The 15,379-nt window shown below is 47.7% G+C and overlaps 1 protein-coding gene across 5 annotated transcripts in view; it reads right to left on the reverse strand.

The window, feature by feature from the left end:
- PLA2G4C (phospholipase A2 group IVC) overlaps positions 1,945–15,379 on the reverse strand; it is a 62,972-nt gene continuing 49,537 nt past the window's right edge. For 4 of the 5 annotated variants that reach the window (NM_001159322.2, XM_011527431.4, NM_003706.3 and 1 more), the window contains 3 exons: positions 8,977–9,148; positions 7,096–7,246; positions 1,945–2,487 (listed from right to left, as the gene is read on the reverse strand). In NM_001159322.2, coding sequence (NP_001152794.1) covers positions 2,442–2,487; positions 7,096–7,246; positions 8,977–9,148 — 369 coding nt within the window. In that variant the 3' untranslated portion in view covers positions 1,945–2,441. Of the gene's footprint in view, positions 2,488–7,052; positions 7,247–8,976; positions 9,149–15,379 lie in introns of all 5 variants that reach the window. The other variant, NM_001159323.2, reaches the window with a different exon arrangement.

Raw genomic sequence — 15,379 nt, forward strand, 5'->3', positions numbered from 1 at the left:
GGAGTCCATACTCAGATAAATAAAAAGCTAAGTGAGAAGTTTGATATTTACAGAGCTCAAAATACCTCCCTACAAAATACCAATTTCAAAGGAGTTACGTTATAGTGGAGAAACGTGGCAAACACCATCTTAGTCAATGAAAGTGGACATCATCAGTAATGTGACAAGTTGGAATTTCACACCACCTGACAGGATGTCACGAGAACAGCATCGCTTCTGTAAGATTCCTGAATCTCATCATAATCAGACGTCAGACGAACCCACATGGAGGGATGGTTTACAAAATAACTGGCCTGTAAGCTTCAAAAATGTCAAGGTCATGAAAATCAAGGAAAGATTGAGGAACCGTTCGAGATTGGAGGAGACTAAGAAGACATGGCCGAGGCTGGGCGCGATGGCTCACACCTGTAATCCCAGCAATTTGGGAGGCTGAGGTGGGCAGATCACCTGAGGTCAGGAGTTCGAGACCAGCCTAACCAACGTGGAGAAACCCCGTCTCTACTAAAAATACAAAAAAATTAGCCCGGCATGGTGGCACATGCCTGTAATCCCTGCTACTCGGGAGGCTGAGGCAGCAGAATCGCTTAAACCCAGGAGGCGGAGGTTGCAGTGAGCCCAAGATCGTGCCATTGCACTCCAGCCTGGGCAACAAGAGCAAAACTCTGTCCAAAAAAAAAAAAAAAAAAAAAAAAAAGCTACGACTGAATGCAACACAGAATTCTGAACAGGATCCTTCTGCTATCAAGGTCTTCTTTCGGATGACTGGTGGTTTGCTGGCAATAGTTTGGCGGCCCTTGGTCAGTAGAGCCTCACCCCAATCCCTGCTTCCATGTTCACATGGTTTCCTCTCTGTATACATGCCTGTCTCTGTCTTTAAATCCCCCCCCCTTTTTTAAAAGAATTTTATTTCAAATCTGGGATACATGTGCTGAACATGCAGGTTTATTACATAGGTATACATGTGCCATGCTGGTTTGCTGCACCAATCAACCCGTCACCTAGGTATTAAGCCCTGCATGCATTAGGTATTTGTCATAATGCTCTCCCTCCCCTAAATCCCCCCTTTTCTTTCCTTTTTTTTTTTTTTTTTTTTTTTTTTTTGAGACAGAGTCTTCACTCTGTCACCAGGCTGGAGTGCAGTGGCATGATTTGGCTCACTGCAAGCTCCACCTCCTGGGTTCAAGCGGTTCTCCTGCCTCAGCCTCCCGAGTAGCTGGGACTATAGGTGTGTGCCACCATGCCCAGCTAATTTTTGTATTTTTAGTAGAGATGAGGTTTCACCATGTTGGTCAGGATGGTATCAATCTCTTGACTTTGTGATCCACCTGCCTCGGCCTCCCAAAGTGCTGGGAGTACAGGCGTGAGCCACTGCGCCCGGCGAAATCTCTCCTTTTCATAAGGACACTAGTCATTGTGGATTAGGGTCCACACGAGTGACCTCATCTTCACTTGATGACATTGGTAAAGACCTTATTTCCATGCAAGGTCACATTCACAGGCACTGGGGGTTACAATGGCCACATCTTTTGGTGGGGGTGGGACACACAATTCATCCCATAACAGTCCTGCTTTAATTCTGGAAAGCCTGTATGAATAATAATTGCTCTGGAACTCCGTCGGTGCCAGACTAACTATTCTAAGGTCTTGAGACTCATGAACTCATTTAAGCCTTTCTAGGATACAGGCTCCGTGATGGTCTATTCTACAGACGATGGAACTGGGGCATGGAGGCGAAGGCTCTTGCCCATGTTCTCATGGTAAGCAGATAACAGAAGTAAGATCCAAACCCAGCTGTGGAACCACCATGCTTAATTGCTGAGATATAGATGGAAGAAGATGGAAAGGAAAGGGGGAAGGGAAGAAAGGAACAAGTAAAGGGTACACAGAGGGTGAAAAGGGCCGCAGCAGGGGTGGTGGCAGACCAAGACACACACACACAGCTAATCCATCAGTCAATCAGCAAGCATTTATTGAGCACTTGTTGTATTCTCAGAGCTCCACTTGGCTGTGGAGAGATAGCCCATGATTTAAGCCCAAGTTCTTACTTCTACAGAGCTAACTTGTGCAGAGCTACTGGCTAGAAGTGCAGTCATAAAGGAGCAGTGGAAGGCATTGGTCTGAACTATCACATTCATTCTGGCCATCTGGACATTGGACATGATGCTTCTGATTGTCAGACACTCATGCTCCAGCTCCAGGATCTCCCGAGGGACCTGCAGGACAAATTTCACCACCTTCAGCTCCTTGGACGCCTTCTTCTGAATGACGCTATCAAAATCACAGTCTAGCTGGTCACTGGTGATTGGCCCTGTTAGGACAGCCAAGGTGAACTCAAGGCCATGAAGCGTGTGGCTGAAGGGAGTGAAGAACAGGAAGGCCAGGTGGACATCAGGGCCCTAGTAGACCAACAGGCCCACAGTGCCCTGGAAGCTGAGGCTCATCTATGCCAAGCAGCAACTTCGGGCACTATCCTTCGGGTAGTAGAGCCTGGGGAGAAAGGAAAGTTAGAAGTTACCACTGTGCTTTGTAGGCAGTGTTGCACACTGGATAAGATTAGAAGACCTGGAAGCCTCTACAGGTCATACATGACTTAGGAGAAAGACATTCATCCATTCTTTCATTCATTGAGAAGACCTGGAGCTCCACCACCTCCTCCTGTGGAGCTCTTGTGATCTACTTTTACCACGTAAACGTTTATTTATCCAACACTACGCTTATTAAGCATGTATCAGGAGCTGGGCTAGGAGGTAACTCTTTGGCCTACATCGAATGTCATGATACCTGCCAGAATTCACAAGATCTGATCTCTGTCCATCTCTCCAATCACATTTCATTCCGTGCTTCCCCTACCCTGATCCAGCAATAACAGCTTTCCTTCTGTTCCTCGAATAGACTGATATAGTTTGGAAATTCGTCCCCTCCAAATCTCATGTTGAAATGTGATCCCCAGTGTTGGAGGTGGGGCCCAGAGGGAGATGTTTGGATCATGGGAGTGGATCCTTCATGAATGGGTTGGTGCCTTCCCTGCGGTAATGAGTGAGTTCTTGCTCTATTAGTTCACTTGAGATCTGGTTGTTAAAAGGAAACTGGTGCTTTCCTCCCTTCTCTCTCTCTTGCTCTCTCTCACCATGTAACACGCCAGCCCCCCTTCCCCTTCCACCAGGATTGGATGCTCTCTGAAGCCTTCACCAGAAGTAGATACAGGCGCCATGCTTCTTGCACAGCCTACAGAACCATGAGCCAAATAAACCTCTTTCCTTTATAAATTACCGAGCCTCAGATATGCCTTTATATTAGTACAGAATGTTATAGACATAGGTAAGACACAGATCAAGGTCTTTCCCACTCCAGACACTTTGCATTTACTTTTCCTTTGCACAGAATTCTGTTCCCCAAGACTTCCTCATGGCCACCCCTTCTCAGTATTCAGCCCCAGGTGAAAGGTCTCTCCCTCAGGATGCCTTCCCAGACCCCCAGACCCTTTCCTAAAAAGCTTTCACTTTACTCCTCAGCACACCGCACGTTCGGTCGTCTCCATGGCACTTACTCTCCATGGCCATCCTGTTGACTTCTTTGTTTACCTGTTTATGTCATGTTGCCCCCCGGGAGGAGGTACATTCTACAAGAGCAAGAGCCTCATCTGACCTGTATGCAGCCACGGCTGCAGGACCTGGGCGGACTGGATCTAGCAGGCATCCAGGAAATGTTTGTGGAATCAATGAATGAAAGAATGAACACCATGGTGAGCAAAGTGATGTGGTTCCTGACCCCACACTGCTGCACACCTTATTATGAGGAGAGAGAGTCAACAAATAAGCATAAATAAGCCCTGAGTTCTACAGGTGAGAAGGTGGGGAGTGGACAGGCACAGAGGAAAATCATGTGTAGACACAGGGAGGCACCATCTGCAAGCCAAGGAGAGAGGTCTCAGGAGAAACCACCCCTGTTCACACCTTGATCTTGGACTTCCAGCCTCCAGAACTGTGAGACAATAAGTGTCGGTTGTTTAAGCCACCTGATCTGTGGTACTTTTTTCTTTGAGACGGAATCTCCCTCTGTCAGCAGGCTGGAGTGCAGTGGCATGATCTGGGCTCACTGCAACCTCCACCTTCTGGGTTCAAGCGATTCTCCTGCCTCAGCCTCCCAAGTAACTGGGACTACAAGTGTGCACTACCATGCCCATCTAAGTTTTGTATTTTTAGTAGAAATGGGGCTTCACCATGTTGGCCAGGTTGGTCTCGAACTCCTGACCTCATGATCTGCCCACCTCGGCCTCCCAAAGTGCTGGGATTACAGGTGTGAACCACCATGCCCGGCCTCTGTGGTACTTTTTAATGGCAGCCCCAGCAAACTAATATACAACCCCTCATTAGAAGACAGATGAGCAGCAAATAACCGCCCTGCCCCATGCCAGGCAGGGCTTTTGGGGAAACTCTCTGGGGAACATAGACTGGTCCAGAGGCCCAGAATGGCTTTCTCTTCCCTCTACCTTGCGACCCTGAGGTCATTGACCCAAACTGCTCCTCAGGGTGCTAATTATCTCACCTAGGGACCAACCGCACAGGAGCTAGGGTGGGCCTTTGAAAAGGTGACTCAGATAAAGCTACTTCCCTGCTCAAAACTTAACAGCAGCTTCCCACCATATTCAGAATAATATTCCAACTCTTCCCCTGGCTTCTGTCATCTGGTTGTGTCTGTGTCTTTGTGGCAGGTTGAATAATGTCTCCTAATGATGTCCCTATCCTAATCCCTAGAGCCTGTGAGTATGTGACTTTTTTTTTTTTTTTTTTTGAGACAGGGTCTCGCTCTGTCATCGAAGCTGGAGTGCAGTGGTGTGATCTGGGCTCACTGCAACCTCTGCTCCCCAGGGTTCAGCAATCCTCCTACCTCAGCCTCCTAAGGAGCTGGGACCACAGGCATACACCACCATGCCTTGCTATTTTTTTGTACTTTTAGTAGAGATGGTGTCTTGCCATGTTGCCCAGGCTGGTCTGAACTCCTGAGCTCAAGAGATCTGCCTGCCTTAGCCTCCCAAAGTGCTGGGATTACAGGTGTGAGCCACGGCTCCTGGCCAGTACATGACTTTCCATGGCAAAAGGGACTCTGCAGATGAGATTAATCTAAGGATCCTGAGATGAGGAGAGGATCCTGGGTATCTGGGTGGGCCCAGTGGAATCCCATGGATCTTTCCTTATAAGAGCAAGGCGGGAGGTCAGAGCAAGGAGGAGATGAGATGATAGAAGCAAGAGGCTGAAGGAGGGGCCATGAGCCAAGGAATGCGGGTGGCCCCTAGAAGCTGAAAAAGGCAAGGAACAGCTTCTCCCCTGGAGCCTCCGCAGGAGTTGGCCCTGCTAACGCTTTGGGTTTTGCTCCATAACACTCGTTTCAGATTTCTGACTTCTAGAACTGTATGAGTCCATTCTCACACTGCGATAAAGACACTGCCTGAGACTGGGTAACGTATAAACAAAAGAAGTTTAACTGACTCACAGTTCCATGTGGCTGGGGAGGCCTCAGGAAACTTATCAGGTTGGCGCAAAAGTAGTTGTGGTTTTTGCCATTACTTTTAGTTGCAAAACCGCAATTACTTTTGCACCAACCTAATACAGTCATGGTGGAAGCAGGGCACCTTCTTCACAGGGTGGCAGGAGAGATGAGAGAGAGAGATCGAGAGAGAGAGAGCAGGGGAAACTGCCACTTAAAAACCATCAGATCTCGTGAGAACTCCCTCACTCTCACGAGAACAGCATAAGGGAAGCCACCCCCAAGATCCAATCACCTCCCACCAGGTCCCTCTCTTGACATGTGGGGATTACAATTCGAGATGAGATTTGGGTGGGGACACAGAGCCAAACCATATCGATAGAGTAAGTTACCTGTGGAGATATCTGTGGCCTTTTATCTGTGGCTTAGGAACAAAAGGAAAGACAGTTTCTTGCATGACTCAGCTTAATTAAGCTTTCAGCTTAATTTTTTTTTTTTTTTTTTTTTTTTTAGAGGCAAGGTCTTGCTCTGTCGCCCAGCCTGGAGTGGGGTGGTACCATCATAGCTCACTGCAGCCTCAAACTCCTGGGCTCCGGCAATCCTCCCACCTCAGCCTCCTGAGTAGCTGAGACTATAGGCTTGTGCTACCACACCCAGCTAATTTTTAAAATTATTTGTAGAGACTTGGTCTCACTATGTTGCCCAGGCAGATCTTGAACTCCTGGGCTCAAGCGATCCTCCTGTCTTGGCTTCCCAAAGTGCTGGGATTACAGACATGAGCCACAGTGCCCAGCCACAGCTTAAGTTTTTCCTTTTGGCATAGTGAATTGGGGTCCTGAGATTTCATTTTCCTTTCACAGAGATATGGTTTGGCTCTGTGTCCCCACCCAAATCTCATCTCAAATTGTAATTCCCATGTGTTGGGGTAGGGGCCTGGTGAGAGGTGATTGATGGGAGCGTACTTCCCCCTTGCTGTTCTTGTGATAGTGACGGAGTTCTCATGAAATCCGGTTGTTTGAAAGTGTGTAGCACTTCCCGCTTTGCTCTCTCTCTCTCCTTCTCTGCCATGGTAAAGATGTGCTTGCTCCCCCTTCACCTTCCACCATGATTGTAAGTTTCCTGAGGCCTCCCACCCATGCTTCCTGTTAAGCCTTCGGAACTGTGAGTCAATTAAACCTCTTTTCTTCATCAATTACCCAGTCTCAGGTAGTTCTTTACAGCAGTGTGAAAACGGACCAATATACACGGAGACAAGCGTGGAACAAATTCTCCCTCACAGATCCCAGAAGGAACCAGCGCTGCTGATACCATGAATTCACACTTCCAGCCCCCAGCACCATGAGACCATCAATTTCTGTGAAGCCACCCAGCTAGTGGTATTTTGTTACAGCAGCCCTAGCAAACGAACACAGCCTGCTTCACTCTTCAGAAAACCATTCACTCCTGACCCTGTTCATGGTCTGTCCCCTGCTGAGACGCAAGCTCAAGTAGGGGAGACACTGCCTATCTTTTTTCACCCATGCAACCCTCCTGCCTGTTGCAGAGAAAGTTCTCCAACAGATACTTACTGAACGAGCATAGGCATCAGAGCGACTATGGTCTCCCACCTACCCGGCCACGTTCATCAACTCTCTAAGGATCTTCTTCTTGTTTTCCCTGACATTCTTCTTGGCTAATGCCAAGAGTAGCACCACCACATCTAGAGTGTAGGTGTCAGCAAGCTTGAATGTGTCGTATGTGTCACTCCATGCCTCAATATCACCTGAAGCATAACCAAACCAACAAAGAAAAGGCATCATGAGTTTGGACAATTAATTCTGCAGATTTTTGTCTATTTACATCAGGGCTTGGCAAACTACAGTTGTGGACCAAATCCAGTCGGCCCACTACTTTGGCTTTATAAATAAAGTTTTATTGACACATGAGGTTATGGATTTATCTATATTTTTATGATCCATGCCCCTTCCGGTCCTTTTTTCTTTTTTTTTTTTTTTTTTTTTTGAGACAGAGGCTCGCTCTTGTCTCCCAGGCTGGAGTCCAATGGCACAATCTTGGGTGACTGTAACCTCCACCTCCTAGATTCAAGCGATTCTCCTGCCTCAGCCTCCCAAGTAGCTAGGATTACAGGCGTGCATCACCACGCTTGGCTAATTTTTTGTATTTTTTAATAGAGACGGGGTTTCACCCTGTTGGCCAAGCTGGCCTTAAACTCCTGATCTCAGGTGATCTGCCCCGGCTTGGCGTCCCAAAGTGCTGGGATTACAGGCGTGAGCCACCGCGCCTGGCCCCCTGCTTCCTGTCTTCTTTACTACTCTAGCCTGCCTCTCCTGGAACCATGGCTGATGCAGCATAGGTAACCAATAAATGTTCGTTAAATGAAGGAAGAAAACAGACACAATTTATCCCTAATGGGAGTCTCATCGCAGGAGACACGATTGACAAGCTAAAAGGAGCCCACTGTGGGAAGTGGCACAATCAGGCCCCGGAGGACCACCCATCCTGGATGCTAGGCCTTCCAAGCAGCTGCTCACCTGAGACTGGATGAGGAATGTGGGATGCCCAGGTGGAAGGGGTTGGATATTCAGGTAGGACAAGAAGGCTGCAGAGAGAGGCAGCAACATGCATAAACATGCAAGACCGAGAGAGGCAGCCTGGCATCCTCCAGGCCCAAGGGTGGACAGGATGACTCACTCAACCATCAGATGTTGGAGCGTAACAAGATGTCCCCAGGGCACAGCACAGCTCCATTCGGCCTGGCCTGGTGGTGATATGGTTTGGCTGTGTCCCCACCCAAATCTCATCTTGAATTGTAGTTCCCATAATCCCCAAGTGTCGTGGGAGGTAATTGAAGCATGGAAGTGGTTACCCTCATGCTGTTCTCGTGACAGTGAGTTGAGTTCTCACGAGACCTGATGGTATGTATTTATTTATTTATTTGAGAAGGAGTCTTGCTCTGTCCCCAGGCTGGAGTGCAGGAGCGCGATCTCAGCTCACTGCAACCTCCGCCTCCCAGGTTCAAGCGATTCTCCTGCCTCAGCCTCCTGAGTAGCTGGGATTACAGGCACGCACCACCAAGCCCAGCAATTTATTTTTTTTTGTTGTTGTATTTTTAGTAGAGATGGGGTTTCACTGTGTTAGCCAGGATGGTCTCAATCTCCTGACCTTGTGATCCGCCCGCCTCAGCCTCCCAAAGTGCTGGGATTACAGGCATGAGCCACCGCGCCCGGCTGATCTGATGATTTTATAAGCATCTGGCAATTGCCCTGCTGGCACTCACTTCTCCTTCCTGCCGCCTTGTGAAGAAGGTGACTTGCTTGGCCTTCGCTTTCCACCATGACTGTAAGTTTCCTGAGGCCTCTCAATCCATGCTGAACTGTGAGTCAATTAAACCTTCTTCCTTTGTAAATTACCCAGTCTCAGGTATGTTTTTATTAGCAGTGTGAGCATGGACTAATACAGGTGGCTTCTCACCTGCTCCTCCCCTGCACCTACCTCCACAGGCATCTATGTTGAACAGGGGAAAATGCATCACCACTGGTCCAGTTTCTCCTTTCAGGATGTAGCAGCTGGCGGGGGCCTTGGACCACAAATCCAGCTCAGCCTCTTCTACTTGGGGAAAGGGGATCTTGTGGCGGCGGCAGTAGTCAGTGGTAGCCCGGATGGTCTGAGAAGGAGGCAATAAGAAATGGTTGCAAGACCTCTCCAGAAGACCCCTCCAGAAGACCCCTGGGGCCTGGAGACCCAATGGGACCTCAGCTAACAGCCCAGACACACAACAGAGCAAGGGTCAGCTTGGACAGGGACAACATCTTCTGTAAGGGAAAGAGTAAGCCTCTGCCATCACCCGCACTCCCCAGCCCACCTAGAGACAACATTCGCGAGGTTAGAGAGTAACCTTTGGGGCTGGGGGCTGCGGGACTCAGAGGGCAAGGAAAATGGTGCCTAGATGAGGCTTTGAATCCCAGCTCTGCCACAGAAAGATGTTGGAGACCTCATCTCTACAGTATATATATATATATATATATTTCAATTAGCCAGGCATGGGGGCGTGCACCTGTAGCCCTAGCTACTCAGGAAGCTGAGATGGGAAGATCATTTGAGCCCAGGAGCCCAACGAGATATGTGGTATGGGTGCATCTCATCACCTCTGCAAAGGATCTCTGTAATAGCCACCTCACAGGGGTATTTGGAAGATAAATGAGATATTCTCCATCATCACTGTGTAACAGAAATATAATGTCACCGTGAAGGTACTTTTCTTTTCTTATTTTTGAGGCAGAGTTTCACTCTTGTTGCCCAGGCTGGAGTGCAATGGCATGATCTCAGCTCACTGCAACCTCCGCCTCCCTGGTCCAAGCGATTCTCCTGCCTCCCGAGTAGCTGGGATTACAGACATGCTCCACCACGCCCGGCTAATTTCATATATTTAGTAGAGACAGGGTTTCTCCATGTTGGTCAGGTTGGTGATCCTCAGGTGATCCGCTCGTCTCAGTCTCCCAAAGTGCTGGGATTACAGGCATGAGCCACCGCGCCCGGCCGTAAAGGTACTTTTCAATTGTCTACTTGCTGCACTTGAAGAAAGTAAAAAGAAGTAGGAGAAATTAATTTTAAAAATAAATATTAAATAAAGGTGACACCATGGGGAAACTTAATGAGAAGTAGTTTCTCAGTTGTAACAAGTTTCATTTATTCTCTTTCCTGTGGCCTCCTTCCGTGCTGTCCTGAACCAGAGCAAAAGGACACTGCATGTCTCATTACTGTAGCACTGAGGTTACTAAACTTACATAAAACACATCTCAGTCTCTGTGTCTTAGAAAGGCATCTGTTAAGTCCTGCAAGCTGACTGACAAAACTAAGCAAGGAGAATTAAGATCAATGCGGGCCAGGCGTGGTGGCTCATGTCTGTAATCCCAGCACTTTGGGAGGCCAAGGCGGGCAGATCACCTGAGGTCAGGAGTTTGAGACCAACCTGGCCAACATGGTGAAACCCCGTCTCTACTAAAAATACAAAAATTAGCCAGGCATGTTAGCAGGTGCCTGTAATCCCAGCTACTTGGGAGGCTGAGACAGGAGAATCGCTTGAACCCGGGAGGCAGAGGTTGCAGTGAGCCCAGATAGCGCCATTGCACTCCAACCTGGGTGACAAGAGCAAGAAAGAGGCTGGGCATGGTGGCTCATGGCTCATGCCTATAATCCCAGCACTTTGGGAGGCTGAGGTGGGTGGATCACGAGGTCAGGAGATCGAGACCATCCTGGCTAACACAGTGAAACCCCATCTCTACTAAAATTACAAAAAATTAGCCGGGCATGGTGGCACATGCCTGTAGTCCTAGCTACTTGGGAGGCTGAGACAGGAGAATCGCTTGAACATGGGAGGCAGAGATTGCAGTGAGCCCAGATAGCACCACTGCACTCCAGCCTGGGCAACAAGAACGAGACTCTGTCTCAAAAAAAAAAAAAAAAAAAAAGATAAATGTATAAATGTGTTTCCAGGAACAGAAAACCAAATACTGCATGTTCTCACTTCTAAGTGGGAGCTGAATGATGAGAACACATGGACACACAGAGGAGAACAACACACACTGGGGCCTAGTGTTGGGTGGAGAGCGGGAGGAAGGAGAGGGTCAGCAGAAATAACTAATGGGTACTAGGCTTAATACTGGGGCGATGAAATAATCGGTACAACAAATCCCCAGGACACAAGTTTACCTATGGAACAAACCTGTACTTGAACCCCTGAACTTAAAAGTTAAAAAAAGATCAGTGTGTTTGTGTTTTGCACACAAATGCAGAAGTTGCATAAGCATATGACTTCATAGTTGTGATCTCAAGAAAAAGGGCATTTCTCCTTTATCTTGTTCTTGCAGTTAACGTAAGAATATTTTAAATTTCTAAGTTTCTGAAGTGTTAGAGGAAGAGATGGCCCAGTAGAGATGTCGGAGTAATGTCTTATCCTTTTAACATGTGGTTATTTTTCCTTATGTACTCAAAGGTGGCTTCTTTATTCAGAGGAGTGATATTACAACTAGAAACCACTCATTAGCAAAAGGAGATGCAGTCTCAACAAGTGTTTCTTCTTCTTCTTCTTCTTCTTCTTCTTTTTTTTTTTTTTTTTTTTTTTTTTGACAGAGTCTCGCTCTGTTGCCCAGGCTGGAGTGCAGTGGCGGGATCTTGGCTCATTGCAACCTCCGCCTCCCAGATTCAAGCGATTCTCCTGCCTCAGCCCCACTAGCAGCTGGGATTACAGGCACGTGCCACCATGCCTGGCTAATTTTTGTATTTTTAGTAGAGACAGGGTTTCGCCATGTTGGCCAGGCTGGTCTCAAACACCTGACCTCAGGTGATCCACCTGCCTCTACCTCCCAAAGTGCTGGGATTACAGGTGTGAGCCACCGCACCCGGCTTCTTCTTATTTTATATTGAGTTGAATATTTGAGTCTAACAGTTTTCTACATATACTTATCTTTAGAGACAGGATCTTGCTGTGTCGCCCAGGCTGGAGTGCAGTGGTGCAATCATGGCTCACTGCAGCCTCAAGCTCCTAGACTCAGGTTATCCCATCTCAACCTCCTAAGTAGCTGGGACTACAGGCGTGAGCCACCATGCCCAGCTAATCAAAAAAAATTTTTTTGGCCGGGTGTGGTGGCTCACGCCTGTAATCCCAGCACTTTGGGAGGCTGAGGTGGGCAGATCACCTGAGGTCGGGAGTTCAAGACCAGCCTGACCAACATGGAGCAATCCCATCTCTACTAAAAATACAAAAATTAGCTGGGTGTGGTGGCGCATGCCTGTAATCCTAGCTACTTGTGAGGCTGAGGCAGGAGAATCGCTTGAACCTGGAAGGTGGAGGTTGTGGCAAGCCGATATCGTGCCATTGCACTCCAGCCCGGGCAACAAGAGCGAAACTCCGTCTCAAAAAAAAAAAAAATTTGTGTGGAGATGGGGTCTTGCTATGTTGCCCAGGCTGGTCTCAAATTGCTGATCTCAAGTGATCCTCCCACCTTGGCCTCCCAAAGCACTGAGATTACAGGAGTGAGCCACCGTACCCAGCCACTTTTCTACACATAAAACAGAAATATCATGAAGGTGCTTCATACCTGTATTACAGAGGAATTTACTGTCATAAGTACCTTCTAAAGATTTGACATTCAGCTGGGCACAGTGGCTCATGCCTATAATCCCAGCACTTTGGAAGGCTGAGGTGGGCGGATCACCTGAGGTCAGGAGTTCAAGACCAGCCTGGCCAAAATGGCAAAACCCCGTCTCTACTAAAAATACAGAAATTAGCCGGGCATGGTGGCGGGCGCCTGTAATCCCAGCTACTCAGGAGGCTGAGGCAAGAGAATCACTTGAACCCGGGAGGCGAAGGTTGCAGTGAGCCAAGATCGCACCACAGCACACCAGCCTGGGCGACACAGAAGACTCCATCTCAAAAAAAAAAAAAAGATTTGACATTCAACTATAGTAGCTACATGTTGGTTAGTTTCCTTATAAGCCCCATCATGGAAAGAATTAAAGATGAATTTGAGAAAAATGAAAAAAAACTTAGACAATCAGGTTCTGTTAAATTGTTACAGATATGTCTTGCTTAAATTTCTGTTTATTGGCCGGGCGTGGTGGCTCACGCCTGTAATCCCTGCACTTTGGGAGGCCGAGGCGGGCAGATCACAAGGTCAGGAGTTCAAGACCAGCCTGGCCAACATGGTGAAACCCCGTCTCTACTAAAAATACAAAAATTAGCTGGGTGTGGTGGCGCATGCCTGTAATCTCAGCTACTCGGGAGGCTGAGGCAGGAGAATTGCTTGAACCCAGGAGGTGGAGGTTGCAGTGAGCCGAGATTGTGCCACTGCACTCCAGCCTATGTGATAGAGCGAGACTCTGTCTCAAAAAAAAAAAAAAAATTCTGTTTATTACTTTGTAACCACCCAATTTGTAGGAAAAAGTTTCATCTCATGCAATATGTCAAAAGTGTGATTGCCTCGATGTGTAATCAATTGTGATGGTGAATATTAGGTGTCGACTTGATTGAAGGGTGCCTGGAAAGCTGGTATTGTTTCCGGATGTGTCTCTGAGGGTGCTGTCAGAGGAGATGAACATTTGAGTCAGTGGACTAGGAGAGGAAGACTCACCCACAGTGTGGGCGGACACCCTCCAATTGGCTGCCAGTGTGACTAGAACAAAGCAGACAGAAGAAGGTGGGAGAAGCTGGCTTGCTGGGTCCTCTGGCTTTCATCTTTCTCCTGTGCTGGATACTTCCTGCCCTTGAACATCACACTCCAGGTTTTTTGGCCTTTGGACCCTTAGACTTACACCAGTGGCTCGCCAGGGGCTCTACGGCCTTTGGCTACAGACTGAAGGCTGCACTGTGGGCTTCCCTACTTTTTTTTTTTTTTTTTTTTTGAGATGGAATTTTGCTCTTGTTCACCAGGCTGGAGTGCAATGGCACAATCTTGGTTCACTGCAACCTCCGCCTCCTGGGTTCAAGTGATTCTCCTGCCTCAGCCTCCCGAGTAGCTGGGATTACAGGCACCTGCCACCACGCCCAGCTAATTTTTTTGTATTTTTAGTAGAGACGGGATTTCACCAGGTTGACCAGGCTGGTCTCGAACTCCTGATCTTCTGATCCACCCGCCTCGGCCTCCCAAAATGCTGAGATTACAGGCGTGAGCCACCAGGCCTGGCTGGGCTTCCCTACTTTTGAGGCTTTCGGACTCGGACTGAGCCACTATTGGTTTGTTTCTTCCTCAGCTCGCAGACGGCCTATTGTAGGACTCCACCTTGTGATCCTGAAACTCCCTTTCATCTAGACATAGATCCTATTGGTTCTGTCCCTCTGGAGAGCCCTGCCTAGTATGTCAATATACCAATTACGAATAAGGTCTTTGACATGCATTTTCCATACTCGGTCATTAAAATCCGAGGTGTATTTTATCTTCATAGCACACTTCAACTTGGGCCAGGCACATTTCAAGTCCTCAAGTGCCACATGTGGCCGGCAACCACTGTAGTGGACAGCTTAGGTCTCTGAAGTCGTCTTTGATTGAAGTTTAACAAATGCTGCCGGTTTTCTTCCTATTACTCTTGCTATTCTCATCATCACCAGATAAGCATTGTTGTTAATCCAGAACACCAGCTATGGACCAGGCATGGTGCAGAGACTCTGCAGATCTCCTGCGAGCCAGATGATGTGATTCCCATTTTCAGGATGAGAAAACTGAGGTTCAGAGGTTAAGCCTATCGCTCGGGGTCATGCAGCAGAGATTTGGCAGAAAAGGACTCCCAAGACCTTGATATCTCATTCCACCTTTATCATATTGTCTTGGGATATTTATTTCAGCAGAAATCCTAAGACCAGAAAGCCTGGGTATTCCTGGGCCAAGGGTCTAGAAAGATGGTGACAAGTTGGTTCTGGATCATGGTATGGGGAGGAGGATGGATGTTCCTAATTCATATTACAGAATGTAAACTGATAGAAGTGTGTGAATATAAATATATATTACATTACACATAAATATAATAGATGATATGTTTTACCATGATTATTTTATATATACTACTATGTATTGGTATGTATCATGTAATAGATATAGTTATATATTATGTAGGTGTATATATTTTTTAATAAAATAGCTGGGCAGGGCGGCTTGTGCCTGTAATCCTAGCCTTGGGTGGTGGGAGAATCGCTTGAGGCCAGGAGTTCAAGACCAGCCTGGGCAACATAGCAAGACCCTGTCTCTAAAACAATTTAGAAAACTAGCCTGGTGTGGTGGTGTGTGCCTGCAGTCCCAGCTACTTGGGAGGGTGAGGTGGGAGGATCGCTTGAGCCCAGGAGGTTGAGGCTGCAGTGAGCTATGATCACACCATAAGACCCAGTCTCGAAAGGAGGCCATGAGGG

The sequence above is a fragment of the Homo sapiens genome, chromosome 19, assembly GCF_000001405.40.
Source record: "Homo sapiens chromosome 19, GRCh38.p14 Primary Assembly".
Taxonomy (NCBI): domain Eukaryota; kingdom Metazoa; phylum Chordata; class Mammalia; order Primates; family Hominidae; genus Homo; species Homo sapiens.